The sequence below is a fragment of the Homo sapiens genome, chromosome 19 (assembly GCF_000001405.40).
Source record: "Homo sapiens chromosome 19, GRCh38.p14 Primary Assembly".
NCBI lineage: Eukaryota > Metazoa > Chordata > Mammalia > Primates > Hominidae > Homo > Homo sapiens.
The window spans coordinates 442,326-460,051 of NC_000019.10; the positions used below are offsets into that span (position 1 = coordinate 442,326).

The window sequence follows — 17,726 nt, forward strand, 5'->3', positions numbered from 1 at the left end:
GGATGGGTGGGTGGATGGATGGAGGGTGGAAGGATGGATGGATGGGTGGGTGGGTAGATGAGTAGATGAGTGGATGGGTGGATGGATGGATGGACAGATGGATGGATGGGCGGGTGGATGGATGGATGGATGAATGGGTGGGTGGATGGGTGGGTGGATGGGTGGATGGATGGATGGACGGATGGATGGATGGATGGGTGGGTGGATGGATGGGTGGGTGGGTGGATGGGTGGGTGGGTGGACGGATGGCTGGATGGATGGGTGGGTGGATGGACGGGTGGGTGGGTGGGTGGATGAGTGAATGGGTGGATGGATGGATGGGTGGATGGATGGGTGGGTGGATGAGTGGATGGGTGGATGGGTGGGTGGACGGGTGGACGGATGGCTGGATGGATGGGTGGGTGGATGGACGGGTGGGTGGGTGGGTGGATGAGTGGATGGGTGGATGGATGGATGGATGGGTGGATGGATGGGTGGGTGGATGAGTGGATGGGTGGATGGGTGGGTGGATGGGTGGACGGGTGGACGGATGGATGGGTGGGTGGATAGATGAGTGGATGGGTGGGTGGATGAATGGATGGATGGACGGGTGGGTGGATGGGTGGATGGATGGGTGGGTGAATGGATGGATGGACGGGTGGGTGGATGGGTGGATGGATGGATGCATGGGTGGGTGGATGGATGGATGAATGGGTGGGTGGGTGGATGAATGGATGGATGGACGGGTGGGTGGATGAGTGGATGGGTGGGTGGATGGATGGAGGGTGGATGGATGGACAGATGGGTGGTTGGATGGGTGGACAGATGGGTAGATGGGTGGGTGGATGAATGGATGGATGGATGGGTGGGTAGATGAGTGCATGGGTGGATGGGTGGGTAGATGAGTGGATGGGTGAATGGATGGACAGATGGATAGTTGGATGGGTGGACAGATGGATGGATGGGTGGGTGGATGAATAGGTGCATGGATGGGTGGGTGGATGAGTGGATGGGTGGATGGATGGATGGGTGGATGGATGTGTAGGTGGATGGGTGGATGGACGGATGGATGGATGGGTGGGTGGATGAATGGATGGATGGACGGGTGAGTGGATGGGTGGGTGGATGGATGGACAGATGGATGGTTGGATGGGTGGACAGATGGGTGGATGAATGGATGGATGGATGGGTGGGTGGATGAGTGGATGGGTGGATGGATGGACAGATGGATGGATGGGTGGATGGATGTGTAGGTGGATGGGTGGATGGACGGGTGGGTGGATGAATGGATGGATGGACGGGTGAGTGGATGGGTGGGTGGATGGATGGACAGATGGATGGTTGGATGGGTGGACAGATGGGTGGATGAATGGATGGATGGATGGGTGGGTGGATGAATGGATGGATGGACGGGTGAGTGGATGGGTGGGTGGATGGATGGACGGATGGTTGGATGGGTGGACAGATGGGTGGATGGATGGATGGATGGGTGGGTGGATGAATAGGTGGATGGATGGGTGGGTGGATGAGTGCATGGGTGGATGGATGGACGGATGGATGGGTGGATGGATGTGTAGGTGGATGGGTGGGTGGATGGATGGATGGGTGGGTGGATGGATGGATGGATGGACGGGTGAATGGATGGGTGGGTGGATGGAGGGTGGATGGATGGACGGATGGTTGGATGGATGGACAGATGGATGGATGGGTGGATGGATGTGTAGGTGGATGGGTGGATGGACGGATGGATGGATGGGTGGGTGGATGGGTGGATGGATGGAGGGTGGATGGATGGACAGGTGGATGGTTGGATGGGTGGACAGATGGGTGGATTGGTGGGTGGATGAATGGATGGATGGATGGGTGGGTGGATGAGTAGATGGATGAATGGATGAACAGATGAATGGACTCTAGGCATGTAGTAGACAGGTCATACCTAAAGGAATTAGCCATGGTCCCTGTCCCTAGCACTGGATTCTCCCACTGAGGAGGCAGCTTTGGTGGGATGCTGGCTGCTCAATGGCTGTCTTCTCTCAGGCAGAGCATGTGCCTCTGGGATGATGTCTGTGCCAGTGTCTGGCGCTACAGGGCCATAGGGTGAGGGATTCTCATTCCCTTACCTGCCCCCTTATTAACACGTAGCCCACTCCGGTTGTGCGGCTGAAACCCTGAACTGTGTGGTCCATGGGTCCCGTTGTGGGGACACCAGCCTAGTGCACGGGGGAGGTGGGGGGCAAACCCTCTGTGGCCCACGGCAGCTCACGAGAGGAAATGCAATATCCTATTCGGTTGAGAACAGGGACTGCAAACTCAGATGCCTACAGCCTTCAGGATCAGCCAGGTAAACACACGAGGTAGGATGCAATGCAGTAACGATACCGACACCTCGCTAACTCAGGGCGCTTGTCACGTGTAAGTCTCTGCTGCGGACACGCTGTGCACAGCATCCTTTAATCCACTGCACGCAGATCCGGTAATGATACCAACACCTCGCTAACTCAGGGCGCTTGTCACGTGTGAGGCTCTGCTGTGGACACACTGTGCACGTGGTCTGTTAATCCACTCCACGCAAATCCACATGCCATGGGCAGCAATGGCCCCTCGGGAAACAGGCCCGGGTGGGAGGGTGACTGACCTCCTGGGCCACACGGCCCGCAGAGCTGGGTCCTGAACCCACACCCCTGGGCTCCAGGATCTGCACTGCTCCCCCTGCACGACGGGAAGAGGCGGGGACCTCAGCTCACTGCATGTCCCACGCTCCACGGCGCCCAGTGCTGCCGGCCATGTGCTTTTTTAAAAAAGAGACCAGAAATTCAGGGCTTTTCTGTGAAATTCTCCCAGTTTGTAAATATCGATCTAGGGCTGAATATCTGTGCCCCCCTCAAAATCCCTCTGTGGAAACCTATGCCCCACTGTGAGGGTATTTAAAGGTGGGCCTTTGGGAGGTGAGGAGGCTATGAGGGCTCCACCCTCAGGACTGGGATCAGTGCCCTTATAAAAGAGACCCCAGACAGAGCCCAGCCCTCCACCACGTGAGGACACAGGAGAACACGGCCCTCTGTAAAGAGGCCCTCGCCAGACACTGAATCTTCCGGCGCCTCGATCGTGGCCCTCCCAGCCTCCAGAACCGTGAGAAATAAATTTCTAGGCCTGGCACAGCAGCTCATGCCTGTAATCGCAGCACTTCAGGAGACCTAGGTGGGAGGCTGTCTCGAAGCCAGGAGTTCAAGACCAGCCTGGGCAATGTAATGAGGCCTCATCTCTACAAAAGAAAAATTTTTAATTAGCTGAGCATGGTGAGTGTGGGCCTGTGGTCCCAGCTACTCAGGAGGCTGAGGTGGGAGGATGGCTTGAGCCCAGGAGGTTGAGGCTGCAGTGATCTGTGATGGCACCACGGCACTCCAGCCTGGGCAACAGAGCACAACCATGTCTTAAAAAACACATTTTTGCCGGGCGCGGTGGCTCACGCCTGTAATCCCAGCACTTTGGGAGGCCGAGGTGAGTGGATCACTTGAGGTCAGGAGTTTGAGACTAGCCTGGCCAACATGGAGAAACCCCAACTCTACTGAAAATACAAAAATAAAAATAAAAATAAAAAAATTAGCTGGGCGTGGTGGTTGCATGCCTGTAATCCCAGCTACTTGGGAGGCTGAGGCAGGAGAATCATTTGAACCCAGGAGGCGGAGGCTGCAGAGAGCCAAGATCACGCCACTGCACTCGAGCCTGGGTGACAGAGGGAGAGTCTGTCTCAAAATAAAAAAAAAAAAAGACAAGCACAGAGGGAGATTTGAGAGACAGAGACACAGAAGGGAGGGGCCGTGTGCAGCCGAGGACACCAAGGCCGGCCCCCAGGCACCAGACACGGGAGAGAGGCCTGGGACAGAGCCTCCCTCAGAGCCTCCAGCAGAAACCAGCCCTGCCCACACCTTGGCTCGGACGTTGGGCCCCAGAACTGTGACAGAACAAGTCTATGTTTGTGTGTGTGTGTGTTTTGTTTTGTTTTTGGGGTTTTTGTTTGTTTGTTTGAGACGGAGTCTTGCTCTGTCGCCAGGCTGGAGTGCGGTGGTGCGATCACGACTCACTGCAACTTCCGCCTCCCGGGTTCACACCATTCTCCTGTCTCAGCCTCCTGAGTAGCTGGGATTACAGGCGCCCACTACCACGCCCGGCTAATTTTTGTATTTTTAGTAGAGACGGGGTTTCATCATATTGGCCTCGCTGGTCTCGATCTCTTGACCTTGTGATCCGCCTCGGTCTCCCAAAGTGCTGGGACTACAGGCGTGAGTCACCGCGCCCGGCTGTCTGTGTTGTTTTAAGCCCCACAGTTTGTGGTGGTTTGTGGTGGCAGCCCCGGGACCCTCCCACAGAAGATGGGGAGGAGCCCTGGCGGCTTCACATTCAACCTTCCCCTTTGCAAATTCAGAAACTGAGGCCCAGAGAGAAGGCATGACCCAGAACCCACCCCAGGACGTTAAGGGAAGGAGCCACTGTACAAGTCAGTAAACCGAAGCCCAGAGAGGGGATGGCACCTGGCCGGCCTCACGCACGCAGCAGGCCAGGGCAGATACAAGCCGAGGTCCCCATGTCTGCACTCCCAGCCTGGGAGACCGTCCGAGTCTCCGCCACCGCCCACGCCAGCCACCGGGACCCACCTCATAGGCTTTGCCATGGTCTGTATCGATGTCATTTACTTGGTATTTTCCTTCTAAATAAACTCCACTTACAAACATAATTGCGTTTACTTTTTAAAGGAAATTGCAGGAAACAACTAAAATATCTATCAACGGATGAACTGATAAATGCAGTGGGGTCCATCCGCACTCTGGAACGTGACCCAGACGTGAAAAGGAGCAAGTCTCCGATACGGGCCATGGCACGGACGCACCGTGAGGACGCCGGACAGGAAAGGCCACACAGCGTGTGATCCCATTTCTATGAAGTGGCCAAGACAGGCCGATCCACAGAGGCAGGAAGGGGACGCGTGGGCGCCGGGGATGGGGAGGGGGTGGAGGGGAGGGACGGCTGAGGGCAGGCGATAAGTTTCCATTTTGCCTGACGGGAGCGTCCTGGAACTAGACACGGGTGAGGGTTGCAGAACCGTGTGGCTGCACTAAATACACCGCCCTGCACAGTTTAAACAGTTGGGATTAGGGTATGCGAATTATATCTGCTTTTTCAAAAATTTGCATGAGAGCCGGGCACAATGGCTCAGGCCTGCAATCCCAGCACTTTGGGAGGCCGAGGCGGGCGGCTCACCTGAGGTCAGGAGCTCAGGACTAGCCTGACCAACATGGTGAAACCCCGTCTCTACTAAAAATACAAGATTAGCTGGGCATGTTGGCTTATGCCTGTAATCCCAGCTACTCGGGAGGCTGAGGCAGGAGAATCACTTGAACCTGGGAAGCGGAGGTTGCGGTGAGCCGAGATCGCACCACTGCACTCCAGCCTGGGTGACAAGAACAAAACTCCATCTAAAAAAAAAATTAAAAAATTATATGAGAAAAAGAGGAAACTTCACACTGCAACCATAACTCCCTGGTTTTCCATTAAAATAAATATATTAATAAAATGAAAAGTGTCCATTCACACAAGAACCCTAAGGTTTTGCTAAAACCAGTGCGTGAAGGTTTGCTGGGAGCTGGGAGCCAGGATGTCTGCACAGTGTCAACATCTGTCTCCCCAGATCACGTTCCAGGGAAGGAAGACCGGATGCCGGGGCCAGGGCTGGGGAGGCCGCAGGCAGCGCTTGGGCTGGAAACGTGCACGGCCTGGCCTGCGAGTGGCTCCCGGGGCGTGCACTGCGACGTCCCCATGCACCCGAGTCCCAATTCCACGAGTCCCCGCAGATCTTCCTCATTATAAGGGAAATAAACAGAGCTTTACGGGGGAGAAAAGTCACCTTCACCAAGTACATTCATTTCCCAGGGCTGCCGTGAGCAAAGGCCACACCTGGGGGCCACGGGAGCGGATCCTCTCCACGTCCCAGAGCCGGGAGTCTGAGGTCAAGCTGCGGGCAGGGCCTCGCTCCCTCTGAAGCCCCGGGGGAGGGTCCTTCCTGCCTCTTCCAGCTTCTGGGGGCTCCCGGCGTCCCGGGCTTGTGGCCGTGTTACTCCATCTCTGCCTCCTCCACACAGCTGTCTCCTTCTGTGCAGATTTCCCTCTTCTTAGAGGACACGAGCCATTGCATTTAGGCCCCACCCTATTTCAGTAACTCCAGTGTGGCCTCATCTTAACTAACCACGTCTGCAAAGGACCTTTTCCAAATAAGGACGTGAGTTTTGGGGAACACCGTTCGCCCCAGGACACTAGGTGATCAAAGTCTCCAGCACCAGTATCAGGACAAACCAGCACCCGGGGGCCTCCTGACACGAAGGGCTGGGAAAACACAGCACCCCTCTGTGCGTCCTGCCAAAAACACAACCTCGACTCAACTGCAGGCAAACACCAGGCAGACACAAACTGAGGGACGGCAGCCCAGCAGCCGGTGTGCACTCTTCAACACTACTGGCTCCATGGATCCCAGGACGGAACAACTGTGAGGCTAAAGGTGGTAAAAGAGACAGGACGGACGGGGCAAGTGGCTCACGCCTCTAATCCCAGCACTGTGGGAGGCCGAGGCAGACAGACGGCTTGAGTTCAGGAGTTCAAGACCAGCCTGGGCAACATGGTGAAACCCCGTCTCTACAAAAAAAAAAAAATACAAAAATACAAAAAGTAGCCAGGCATGGTGGTGCACACCTGTAGTCCCAGCTACTCGGGAGGCTGAGGCAGGAGAATCGCTTGAACGCAGGAGGTGGAGGTTGCCGTGAGCCGAGATGGTGCCACTGCACTCCAGCCTGGGCGACAGAGCCAGACTCTGTCTCTAAAAAATTAAAATAAATAAAATAAAAATTAGCTGGGCGTGGTGGCACACAGCTGTGGTCCCAGCAGCCTGGGAGGTCTCAGCAAGAGGCTGAGGTGCAAGGATCGCTTGAACCCAGGAGGCGGAGGTTGCAGTGAGCTGAGATGGCACCATTGCACTCCAGCCTGGATGATCCAGAGCGAGATCCTGTCTCAAAAAAAGAAAAAAAAAGGCAGGATGGCTAAATGCAATGTGGGATGGGAAAATAAAGGTTGCTCTGACACCGTTGGGAAAACTGGTCACATTTGAATACGCACTGAAAATGTGATCGCAGGATTGTAACGGTACATTTCCTGACTTTGTTAATCATACCATAGCTATGCTGGAGAAAATCCTTGTCCTTAGACTATATACCCTAGCGTGTTTGAGGGTAGAGGGGTATCACGGCTGCAGACTTTCTCAATTGTTCATCAATAATAACGACAGTAATAATAATAATTTATACAGTGGGAGCCTAAGGTAGGAGAATCGCTTGAACCCGGGAGGCGGAGGTTGCAATGAGCCGAGATTGCGCCATTGCACTCCAGCCTGGGCAACGAGAGCAAAACCGTGTCTCAATAATGATAATAATAATAATTTATACAGACAGAATAAATGAGGCAAGATGTTAATAATCGGCCAGTCTAGGTGAATGACACATGGGAACTCTTTGTACTAGTCTTCTTTGGAACTTTTCGTCTCAATAGAATTCCAAACTTACAAAAGCTCTACGTAGTCTACTGTTCTTGTTTCTTTGATCTAAGGTTGAAACTATTTAAAGGCAAATTTCTTTGACACCCTGCGCCACGCTGACCAGTGCCGCCCTCCACCCCTGGCCAGGAGGACGCCCCTCCCACTGGCCACAGCCCCCGTCAGTGCCCCTGGCCATGGCTTTCCACAGGGGCGAGGGGTGTGTGCTGCCCTGGGGGTGCCGCGGAAATGTGGGGCCCTGTTGGCCATCATCGCGAGGCTGGGCAGCCGGCGCTACAGGAGGGGGGGGACTCACAATGACACCGAACTGTCCCCAGGGCCTCGGAGCTTCCTCCAGGCATCTTGTGGGGAAAGCCTTCCATGACTGCCACACGCCTCCAACCTAACTCCACGTGGCCCATGACGCAAGAGAGTGGCGCGTTTTCGTGTGCTTGCTTTTTTATTGTGGTAAAACACACATAACATAAAATTTAGAGTTTTGACTGTCTTTAATCGCACGGTTCAGTGGCACTCAGCGCATTCCCGTGGCTGTGCAGCCACCACCACCGTCTCTCCAGAACGTCCTCATCTTCCCAAACTCAAACTGACCCCACAAAACACTTACTCCCCGTCCCCTCCCCAGCCCCATCCTACTTTCTGTCTCTGTGAATCTGATGGCTCTGGGGACCTCTGATGGGTGGAATTGCACAAAGCTTGTCCTTCTGTGTCTGGAGTCTCTCACCGAGTGAGACATCCTCAAGGTCCGTCCGTGCCGTGGCCTGGGTCAGAGCCTCGTTCCTTTTCTTGGCCGCGTCGTATTTCAGCGTGTGGATGGCCACACTGTGTTGATCCACTCATGCCTGGGTCACAGCCTCGTTTCTTTCCTTGGCCGCATCATATTGTCATATTTCAGCATGTGGATGGCCACGCCGTGGCCACGTCATATTTCAGTGTGTGGATGGCCACGCCATGGCTGTGCCGTATTTCAGCGTGTGGATGGCCACGCCGTGGCCACATCATATTTCAGCGTGTGGATGGCCATGCCGTGGCCATGTCATATTTCAGCGTGTGGATGGCCATACCATAGCCACGTCATATTTCAGTGTGTGGATGGCCACGCCATGGCTGTGCCGTATTTCAGCGTGTGGATGGCCACGCCGTGGCCACATCATATTTCAGCGTGTGGATGGCCACGCCGTGGCCACGTCGTATTTTAGCGTGTGGATGGCCATACCATAGCCACATCATATTTCAGTGTGTGGATGGCCACGCCATGGCTGTGCTGTATTTCAGCGTGTGGATGGCCATACCATAGCCACGTCATATTTCAGCGTGTGGATGGCCACGCCGTGGCCACGTCATATTTCAGTGTGTGGATGGCCACGCCGTGGCTGTGCTGTATTTCAGCATGTGGATGGCCACGCTGTGGCCACATCATATTTCAGCGTGTGGATGGCCACGCCGTGGCTGTGCCGTATTTCAGCGTGTGGATGGCCACGCCGTGGGCCACGTCGTATTTCAGCATGTGGATGGCCATGCTGTGTTGATCCACTCATCCATCAACAGACACCTGGACTGTTTCCACCTTTGGGCTGCTGGGAGTTATGCTGCTGTGGCCGTGAGTGTACAAACATCCCCTCAAGTCCCTGCTCTCCATTTCTGGGAGGTATATATCCAAGAAGTGAAATTGGTGGATCATAAGGTAATTCTCTTTAACTTTTTGGCATTTTTTGTTTGTTTTGAGACATAGTCTCACTCTGTCGCCCAGGCTGGAGTGCAGTGGCGTGATCTCGGCTCACTGCAACCTCCACCTCTTGGGTTCAAGCGATTCTCCTGCCTCAGCCTCCCGAGTAGCTGGGATTACAGTTGCCCGCCATCACACCCAGCCAATTTTTGTATTTTTAGTAGAGACGGGGTTTCACCATGTTGACAGGCTGGTGTCGAACTCCTGACCTCAGGTGATCAGCCCGCCTCTGCCTCCCAAAGTGCTGGGATTATAGGAATGAGCCTCCGTGCCTGGCAGCATCGTTTTTATACAAGTTGGACTAAAATAGTTGTTCACTATTTTAGAAGCCAAATCGTCCGTGTGACTCCAGCCGTGGTGTCGGAGCTGCAGAATGGCAGCCTGCATCTGCCCCGTCTGTGGCTGTCACAGGAATGGTGGCCTTTGTGGCGGCCTCTGTGCTTCCCGGAGAGTGGACCCTGCACATTTACAGGCTGAAACATATTTTGAGTTACTAGGAATCACCACCATTGCGTTTCTCCGTTTCACTGCGGTTGGGGCATCGTACTGACTTGGGGGGAATTCCTGCGTAGGTGTGCGTTTCTCCATTTCATTGAGGTTGGGGCATCGTACTGACTTGGGGGGAGTTCCTGCGTAGGTGTGCGTTTCTCCGTTTCATTGAGGTTGGGGCATCGTACTGACTTGGGGGGAGTTCCTGCGTAGGTGTGCGTTTCTCCGTTTCATTGAGGTTGGGGCATCGTACTGACTTGGGGGGAATTCCTGCGTAGGTGTGCGTTTCTCCGTTTCATTGAGGTTGGGGCATCGTACTGACTTGGGGGGAATTCCTGCATAGGTGTGCGTTTCTCCATTTCATTGAGGTTGGGGCATCGTACTGACTTGGGGGGAGTTCCTGCGTAGGTGTGCGTTTCTCCGTTTCATTGAGGTTGGGGCATCGTACTGACTTGGGGGGAATTCCTGCGTAGGTGTGCGTTTCTCCGTTTCACTGCGGTTGGGGCATCGTACTGACTTGGAGTTCCTGCGTAGGTGGGTGTTACAGGTACACTTGGGTTTCATTTCAGGAGTGAAGGATCACAGAATGCTTGCTATAAATAGTGGTAGTTGATCGGCAGGACGGCCACACGCAGCTGCAGCTGGTGGATCTCAGACCTGAGTGTGACTCAGAATCACCTGGAGGACTCACAAAACGCAGCTCTCCAAGCCCCCCAGAGTCTCTGACCCAGCAGGTCTGGGGTGGGGCTCGAGAATCAGCATTTGCAACAGGTTCCCAGATGCCGCTGGTCTTTAAGCCAGTTTGGTGGCCCCGTTCCCTTCCACAAGTGAAGGGTTTGCCATTTCCAGCCAATGGAGGAGGGAGAACGGCCGGAGTCTCTCACAAAGAGCTCCAGGAAGGGATGACCTCTGCTCCCAGTGGACGTGGCCGGGTCCCAGCGACGTCGGGTGCTGTGGCCACCATTTTGTGACCCTGAAGGTCGCCAAGCCAGCGTGCAGAGGACGGCGGCACAGAAAGATGGGAGAGACTGTGGTCACACCGTCCTGAAAACAGCCCAATGTTGTCTGGCCTTGGAAGCTGAGCAGGGTCGGGCCTGATTGGTACTTGGATGGGAGAAGGACAGAAAGAACCCAGATATGGGTTCTTTGTTCTCAGAAACAAAACCTGAGTTTTGTTTCTGAGGCAGGGTCTTGCTCTGTCACCCAGGCTGGAGGGCAGTGGCATGATCTTGGCTCACTGCGGCCTCGAATTCTCAGGCTCACGTGCTCCTCCTGCCTCAGTCTCCCACATAGCCGGGACCACAGGTGTGCACCACCCTGCCTGGCTAATGTTTTTTCTTTTTTGGTAGAGACAGGGTTTCACCAAGCTGCCCAGGCTGGTCTCAAACTCCTGGGCTCAAGTGATCCTGCCGCCTTGGTCTTCCAAAATGCTGGATTACAGGCGTGAGCCACCACGCCCGGCCAGAACCCAGATCTTTAGGGATGCTGTCGAGCCATGGGATTCATCCACCGTGTCAACTGGCCACACCTGACCCCTCGCCTTCAAGGAAAAGCTGCATTTGGAGCTGAACCATCTCCAGCACCCTCTCACAACTCCCCGCACCTCCCAGCTTAAGGGACCCGCGATGCAGGAAGGATGAAGTGTCATTTTGCCGACCGTGTCCCAGTTTGCGTCCATCCCCCACCGGGCCTGGGCTCCACGCACCTGGAGCAGAGCCAGACACGCACAGGAAACTCTCCCTGAAGTGCTCACGAGGTGAGGTGCGTGAGGGCACCGCAGAGAGCAGGACGGCCTGACTCACGGGACTTCTGTGTATGGACGAGCCCAGCGCCAAAATGGTACGTGTGGGAGAACACGGGGTCGGTGTCCACAGACCTTGGCACGAACTCTGGCCTCTCCAGGAGACAAGCTCTGTGTCTTTCTCAACAGAGACATCTTGCTCAGATCTACGCCTTCGGGTGAAGCCCAAAGATCAGGCGTCAAGATTCACCCAGACCGAGCTGTCCAGCACGGCAGCTGCTTGCTGCCTGTGACCACTTGAGAAAAGTCAGGTAAAATGAAGCTGGCACTGCAACAGCACAGGCCACACCTCGAGGCCCAGCCGCCCATGTGACTCACGGCAGCCACACTGGACGGTGCAGACACGGACGGTTCTGCTGGGCAGTGCCGGGCTGGGCTCATGAGACCCACGGCAAAGTCGGCGGGGGATTCTCAGGAAAAATGTCCCCATTCACAAAAGGAGCCCCACAGAGACAGGGGACCCTGTTCTGCCAAACCAGAGCCACTGCCTTTCAGCCAGGGGAGGAACTGACCCAGCAGAGGCCCCGGGAAGGCGGTCGGTCTCCCGTGGCTGCCCTAACAGATCCCCACAAACGGGGCTTAAGACAACAGAAATGGGCCGGACGCGACGGCGCACACCTGTCATCCCAGCACTTTGGGAGGCGCAGGCGGGCGGATCACCTGAGGTCAGGAGTTCAAGACCAGCCTGGCCAACAGGGTGAAACCCCATCTCTACTGAAAATACAAACAAAATTAGCTGAGCATGGTGGCGGGCGCCTGTAGTCCCAGCTACTCAGGAGGCTGAGGCAGGAGAATCGCTTGAACCCGGGAGGCGGAGGTTGCGGTGAGCCGAGATCGCGCCACGGCACTCCAGCCTCAGCAACAAGAGGGAAACTCTGTCTCAAAAAAAAAAAAAGACCATAGAAATGCTTCCTCACACAGGCCTGAGGGCCGGAAGCCCGTCCCCTCTGGAGGCAGCAGGGGAAGGCCCGTCCTGCCTCTCCCAGTGCTGGTGGTGGCCGGGGCTCCCTGACATCCTTGGCCCGTGGCCGCATCGCTCGTCTCTGCCCCTCTCATCCTGTCCCGCGTCCTTCTCTCTGTGCCCTCACTCAGCTTCTCATAAAGACGGCAGTCACCGGGTCAGGGTGACCTGAATCCAACGTGACCTTGTTTAATGACACCTGCAGAGAGCCTGTTCCACAGAAGGCCTCATTTTGGGGTTCCAGGTTGGCATGAATTTCGGTGAAATAACAATGACCTGGACCCATGACAAAGTCACTGAGCTGCTGAATTAACCAACCCCAGAGCCGCCGACCCCGGGTTCTTCTCGCAGGAGACAATCAAGGTCCCTTTGGCGCCCAGCAGCTCCGAGTCAGGTCTGTGGTGACAGCCCTAAAGGCATCGCGAGTGCCATGACCCAGGGAAGGGCTCTCGGGCAGCTCTTTGACCTGCTGTGCCTCAGCTGCCTCATCTATAAAATGGGTGGAAGCCGCAGGGTTGTGGGGAGAATGGAACCCAGGGCTCCTCGGAACTCAGCACCGCGCAGGACTCGGCGTGAGCCTCGGCGCCGGAGGTACTGCATTTGCACCGATGCTGCCCACGGCGCTCGGACGCGGGGCCCACGCCGCTGATTATCCGGCGTCCAACTTCTCTCCCACACACCGGGATCGCTGCAGGATTCTGGGGGGTTCTGCGATGCCGGCTGAGTCGCCCGGCCCATCCACTCCCTCTTGCTGCTATCACCAATCACCACAAATTGAGTGGCTCCAAACAACGCGAGCTAATCCGCTTATGTCTAGAGCTCAGAAGTCTAAAATCAAGGTGTGGGCAGAGTTGGTTCCCAATCTGCTCCGCCTTTCCCAGCGTCCTGAGGGGCCCACATCCCTTGGCTGGGGGCCCCTTCCTCCCGGTTAGCAGCCACAGCGCAGCCTCTTCCGGTCTCTCTCTGACTCTCACCCCCTGCTGCGAGGACACCGGGCCCCCAAATCATCCCATCTCAGGGTTGCTCACTCGGTCCCACCTGCAGGTCCCCTGTCGCCGTGTGAGGGGCACCTTCACAGAATCCGAGGGTGGATGTGGACACGGGGCCGTTGCTGTGCCCCACACAGGTGCGTGCGTGACGAGTGCCCTCAGAATGTTCTCTCCGGCTCCCGCAGGAGGACCCTCAGCCCCGGGTTCTGGTCCTGCTTTTCACTGCGTAACCTCAGACACAGCTCGGCCTCTCTGTGCCTCAGTTTCCCTCAGTGCACAGGGTCCCTCCAGTGTGGAAGAGCCCTGCGGGCCTGAGCCGCCGGCCGCAGCCCCCGGGTGATGGGGCTTGGCTATTCCCCTCCTTAACTCAAGCTTCCCTGTGACCAGGAGGGACCGGCTGTCCCTGTGCCTGCTGTGATGTAGGTGCTGGGAGACGGGGCTCCTGGGGGACAGCGCTGGGGGCTGAGGCCGGTCAGGCTCCCTGGGGGCCAGGGCCCCTGGTCCATCAGCAACTCCTCCGGGCTCCAACACAGGCTCATTGTCCACTTCTCCCCTCACCTAGGTCCCCTGGCCTGGGCCACCGCCGTCCCTCGCAGCCTCCTCCCGGGTCTCTGCTGCCCTTCCAGACCCTCCTCCTCCCTCAGCAACACTTCCACACGGCCCCTGGAAGGGCTTTCAAAACTGCACACTCTGCGCCACCCCCTACTTAAAACCACCCCCACTCCTCACCACAGCCCACAGAGAGAGTCCCGCTCCCTCTCCATCAGCTCCAGTCTCATGGCTCTCCTTGCCGTGACGCACACGCACCAGGTCCGCTCCCTGCGTGGGGCCTTTGCACCTGCTGTGCCCCCCCTAGAACTCTGTCTGCAAACTCCACCGCGTCAGGCCTTTGCACCTGCACCTGCTGTGCCCCGTCTAGAACTCTGTCTGCAATCCCCACCACGTGGGGCCTTTGCACCTGCTGTGCCCCTGCCTGGAACTCTGTCTGCAATCCCCACCACGTGGGGCCTTTGCACCTGCTGTGCCCCTGCCTAGAACTCTGTCTGTAAACCCACTGCGTGGGGCCTTTGCACCTGCTGTGCCCCGCCCCTAGAACTCTGTCTGTAAACTCCACAGTCAGGCCTTTGCACCTGCAGCTGCTGTGCCCCGCCTAGAACTCTGTCTGTAAACCCACCGCGTGGGGCCTTTGCACCTGCTGTGCCCCGCCTAGAACTCTGTCTGCAAACCCCACCACATCAGGCCTTTGCACCTGCACCTGCTGTGCCCCGACTAGAACTCTGTCTGCAAACCCCACCACATCAGGCCTTTGCACCAGCACCTGCTGTGCCCCGACTAGAACTCTGTCTGCAAACCCCACCACATCAGGCCTTTGCACCTGCACCTGCTGTGCCCCGACTAGAACTCTGTCTGCAAACCCCACCACATCAGGCCTTTGCACCTGCACCTGCTGTACCCCCCCTAGATCTCTGTCTGCAAACCCACCATATCAGGCCTTTGCACCTGCACCTGCTGTGCCCCGTCTAGAACTATGTCTGCAAACCCCACGGCCGGGGTTTCCATGGCTCAGGTCTCAGCTTCAAGGTCGCCTCCTGGGAGGGGCAGCCGCCCAGCCTCCTGCTCTAATATCACACGATTTTAGCTCTGCAGAGCCGCTACCAGAACCTATTTCCTCATCTGTTTGTCCTCTTCTGATTGACTGTCTCTCCTACTGGAATCCAAGCTCCTTGAGAGCAGGAACGAGGTCTCTCATTGTCTACTCATCATCTGTGCCGGGCAGGGGAAGCGTATGCTAAATATTTCCTGCAGTGACGGAAAGCAGCAGTTATCCCCCAACATCCGGAGCCCCAACAACCCTGGCGTCTGAATTCTGAACATTCTAAATCCCACATCCACGGCCAATGGCCACACCTGACTGGTCCCAATGGATGTGGTGTGAAGGAAGCGCACGCGTCCTCCGTGGAACACGCCGGCCGTCGGCGTTAAACTTGTAGGACAAACCGCCGGGAGACGGCGAGGGCGGCCCGATGCCACCAGGGAAAACAGACCCAACCAGGCCTGGCATCCGCACAGACCCGGGGGAGGCGGAAGTGGGTCCCGGGGAGGCGGAAGCGGGTCCTGGGGAGGCGGAAGCCGGTCCCGGGGAGGCAGAAGAGGGTCTTGGGGAGGCGGAAGTAGGTTCCGGGGAGGCGGAAGCGGGTCTTGGGGAGGCGGAAGCGGGTCTTGGGGAGGCGGAAGTGGGTCCCGGGGAGGCAGAAGCGGGTCTTGGGGAGGCGGAAGTGGGTTCCGGGGAGACGGAAGCGGGTTCCGGGGAGGCAGACGCATGTTCCGGGGGACGGGGAAGTGGGTTCCGGGGAGGCAGACGCGGGTTCCGGCGGAGGGGGAAGTGGGTTCCGGGGAGGCGGAAGCGGGTCTTGGGGAGGCGGAAGTGGGTCCCGGGGAGGCGGAAGCGGGTCTTGGGGAGGCGGAAGCGGGTTCCGGGGAGACAGAAGCGGGTTCCGGGGAGGCGGAAGCGGGTCCCGGGGAGGCGGAATCGGGTTCCGGGGAGGCGGAAGCGGGTCCTGGGGAGGCAGAAGCGGGTCTTGGGGAGGCGGAAGTGGGTTCCGGGGAGGCAGACGCATGTTCCGGGGGACGGGGAAGCAGGTTCCGGGGAGGCGGAAGCGGGTCCTGGGGAGGCGGATTCGGGTTCCGGGGAGGTGGAAGCGGGTCCTGGGGAGGCGGAAGCGGGTTCCGGGGGACGGGGAAGTGGGTTCCAGGGAGGCGGACGCGGGTTCCGGGGAGGCGGAAGCCGGTCTTGGGGAGGCGGAAGTGGGTTCCGGGGGAGGGGGAAGCGGGTTCCGGGGAGGCGGAAGCGGGTCTTGGGGAGGCGGAAGTGGGTTCCGGGGAGGCGGAAGCGGGTCCCGGGGAGGCGGAGGCGGGTTCCGGGGAGGCGGAAGCGGGTCCTGGGGAGGCGGAAGCGGGTCTTGGGGAGGCGGAAGAGGGTTCCGGGGAGGCGGAAGCGGGTCCTGGGGAGGCAGAAGCCGGTTGTACTGCGCAGGCCGAGCGCGCCTGGGGACCACACGTGGGGGAGTGAGGTTTCACAGCCAGCTTCTGGGGGCTCCCACAGGCTTTGGTGGGCCCGGGCTTGAGGCCCCCACCTCTGCCTGTCTCCTAACGGCCCGCTCCTCTGTGCATCTGAGTCTAAAGTTCCTTCTCCTTACAGAGACCCCTGATCCAGGTAGGCCTCATCTTGACTAGGTTACATCTGCAAGGACCCTGTTCCCAATATAAGGTAATAAGGTCAGACTCCTACGGCACAGGAATTGTAGGGGGACCCTTCTCAACTCGGTGTAGGGGGAAGGACCCCACTGAACCCAGCGTAGGGGGAAGGACCCCACTGAACCCAGCGTAGGGGGAAGGACCCCTCTCAACTCGGTGTAGGGGGAAGGACCCCACTGAAGCCAGCGTAGGGGGAAGGACCCCACTGAACCCAGCGTAGGGGGAAGGACCCCACTGAAGCCAGCGTAGGGGGAAGGACCCCACTGAAGCCAGCGTAGGGGGAAGGACCCCACTGAACCCAGCGTAGGGGGAAGGACCCCACTGAACCCAGCGTAGGGGGAAGGACCCCTCTCAACTCAGCGTAGGGGGAAGGACCCCACTGAACCCAGCGTAGGGGGAAGGACCCTTCTCAACTCAGTGTAGAGGGAAGGACCCTACTGAACTCAGCGTAGGGGGAAGGACCCCACTGAACTCAGCGTAGGGGGAAGGACCCCACTGAACTCAGTGTAAGGGGAAGGACCCTTCTCAACTCAGTGTAGAGGGAAGGACCCTACTGAACTCAGTGTCCAGAAAAGCAAAGACACAACCCAATGTGAACACAGGCTAATGTTCCTGGCCGCAGAGGCCGGGAGGAGCTGGGAGCACCCACCGGTAGTGGCGTGCGGGAGTGGCTGATCATTTTCCCAGACGCCGTAATGACTGCAGCTGTAGGACAGCTGCTCTCTCAGAAGACGGGGGACTATGCACGGCGCTGTCACCCCTGCAGGTGACTTCACACGGTTTACTATAAACCACAGAGAGGGGCAGACCCGTCAGCAGAGGGGAAGGTTACCCTCCTAGGTGGAGGCGTGCTGTGTCCAGGCGCCCGACTTCCCCGTGTGTTTGAAAAGGTTCATTTATCATAAGACCCAAGGTAAATAAACAAAGGCCGCTTCCTT

At 57.4% G+C, this 17,726-nt stretch overlaps 1 protein-coding gene and 1 pseudogene across 6 annotated transcripts in view; one reads left to right on the plus strand and one right to left on the minus strand.

Moving 5' to 3' along the window:
- SHC2 (SHC adaptor protein 2) overlaps positions 1 to 17,726 on the minus strand; it is a 44,445-nt gene that overhangs the window by 25,737 nt on the left and 982 nt on the right. The window lies entirely within an intron of this gene.
- Positions 10,809 to 10,920, plus strand: RNA5SP462 (RNA, 5S ribosomal pseudogene 462; annotated as a pseudogene).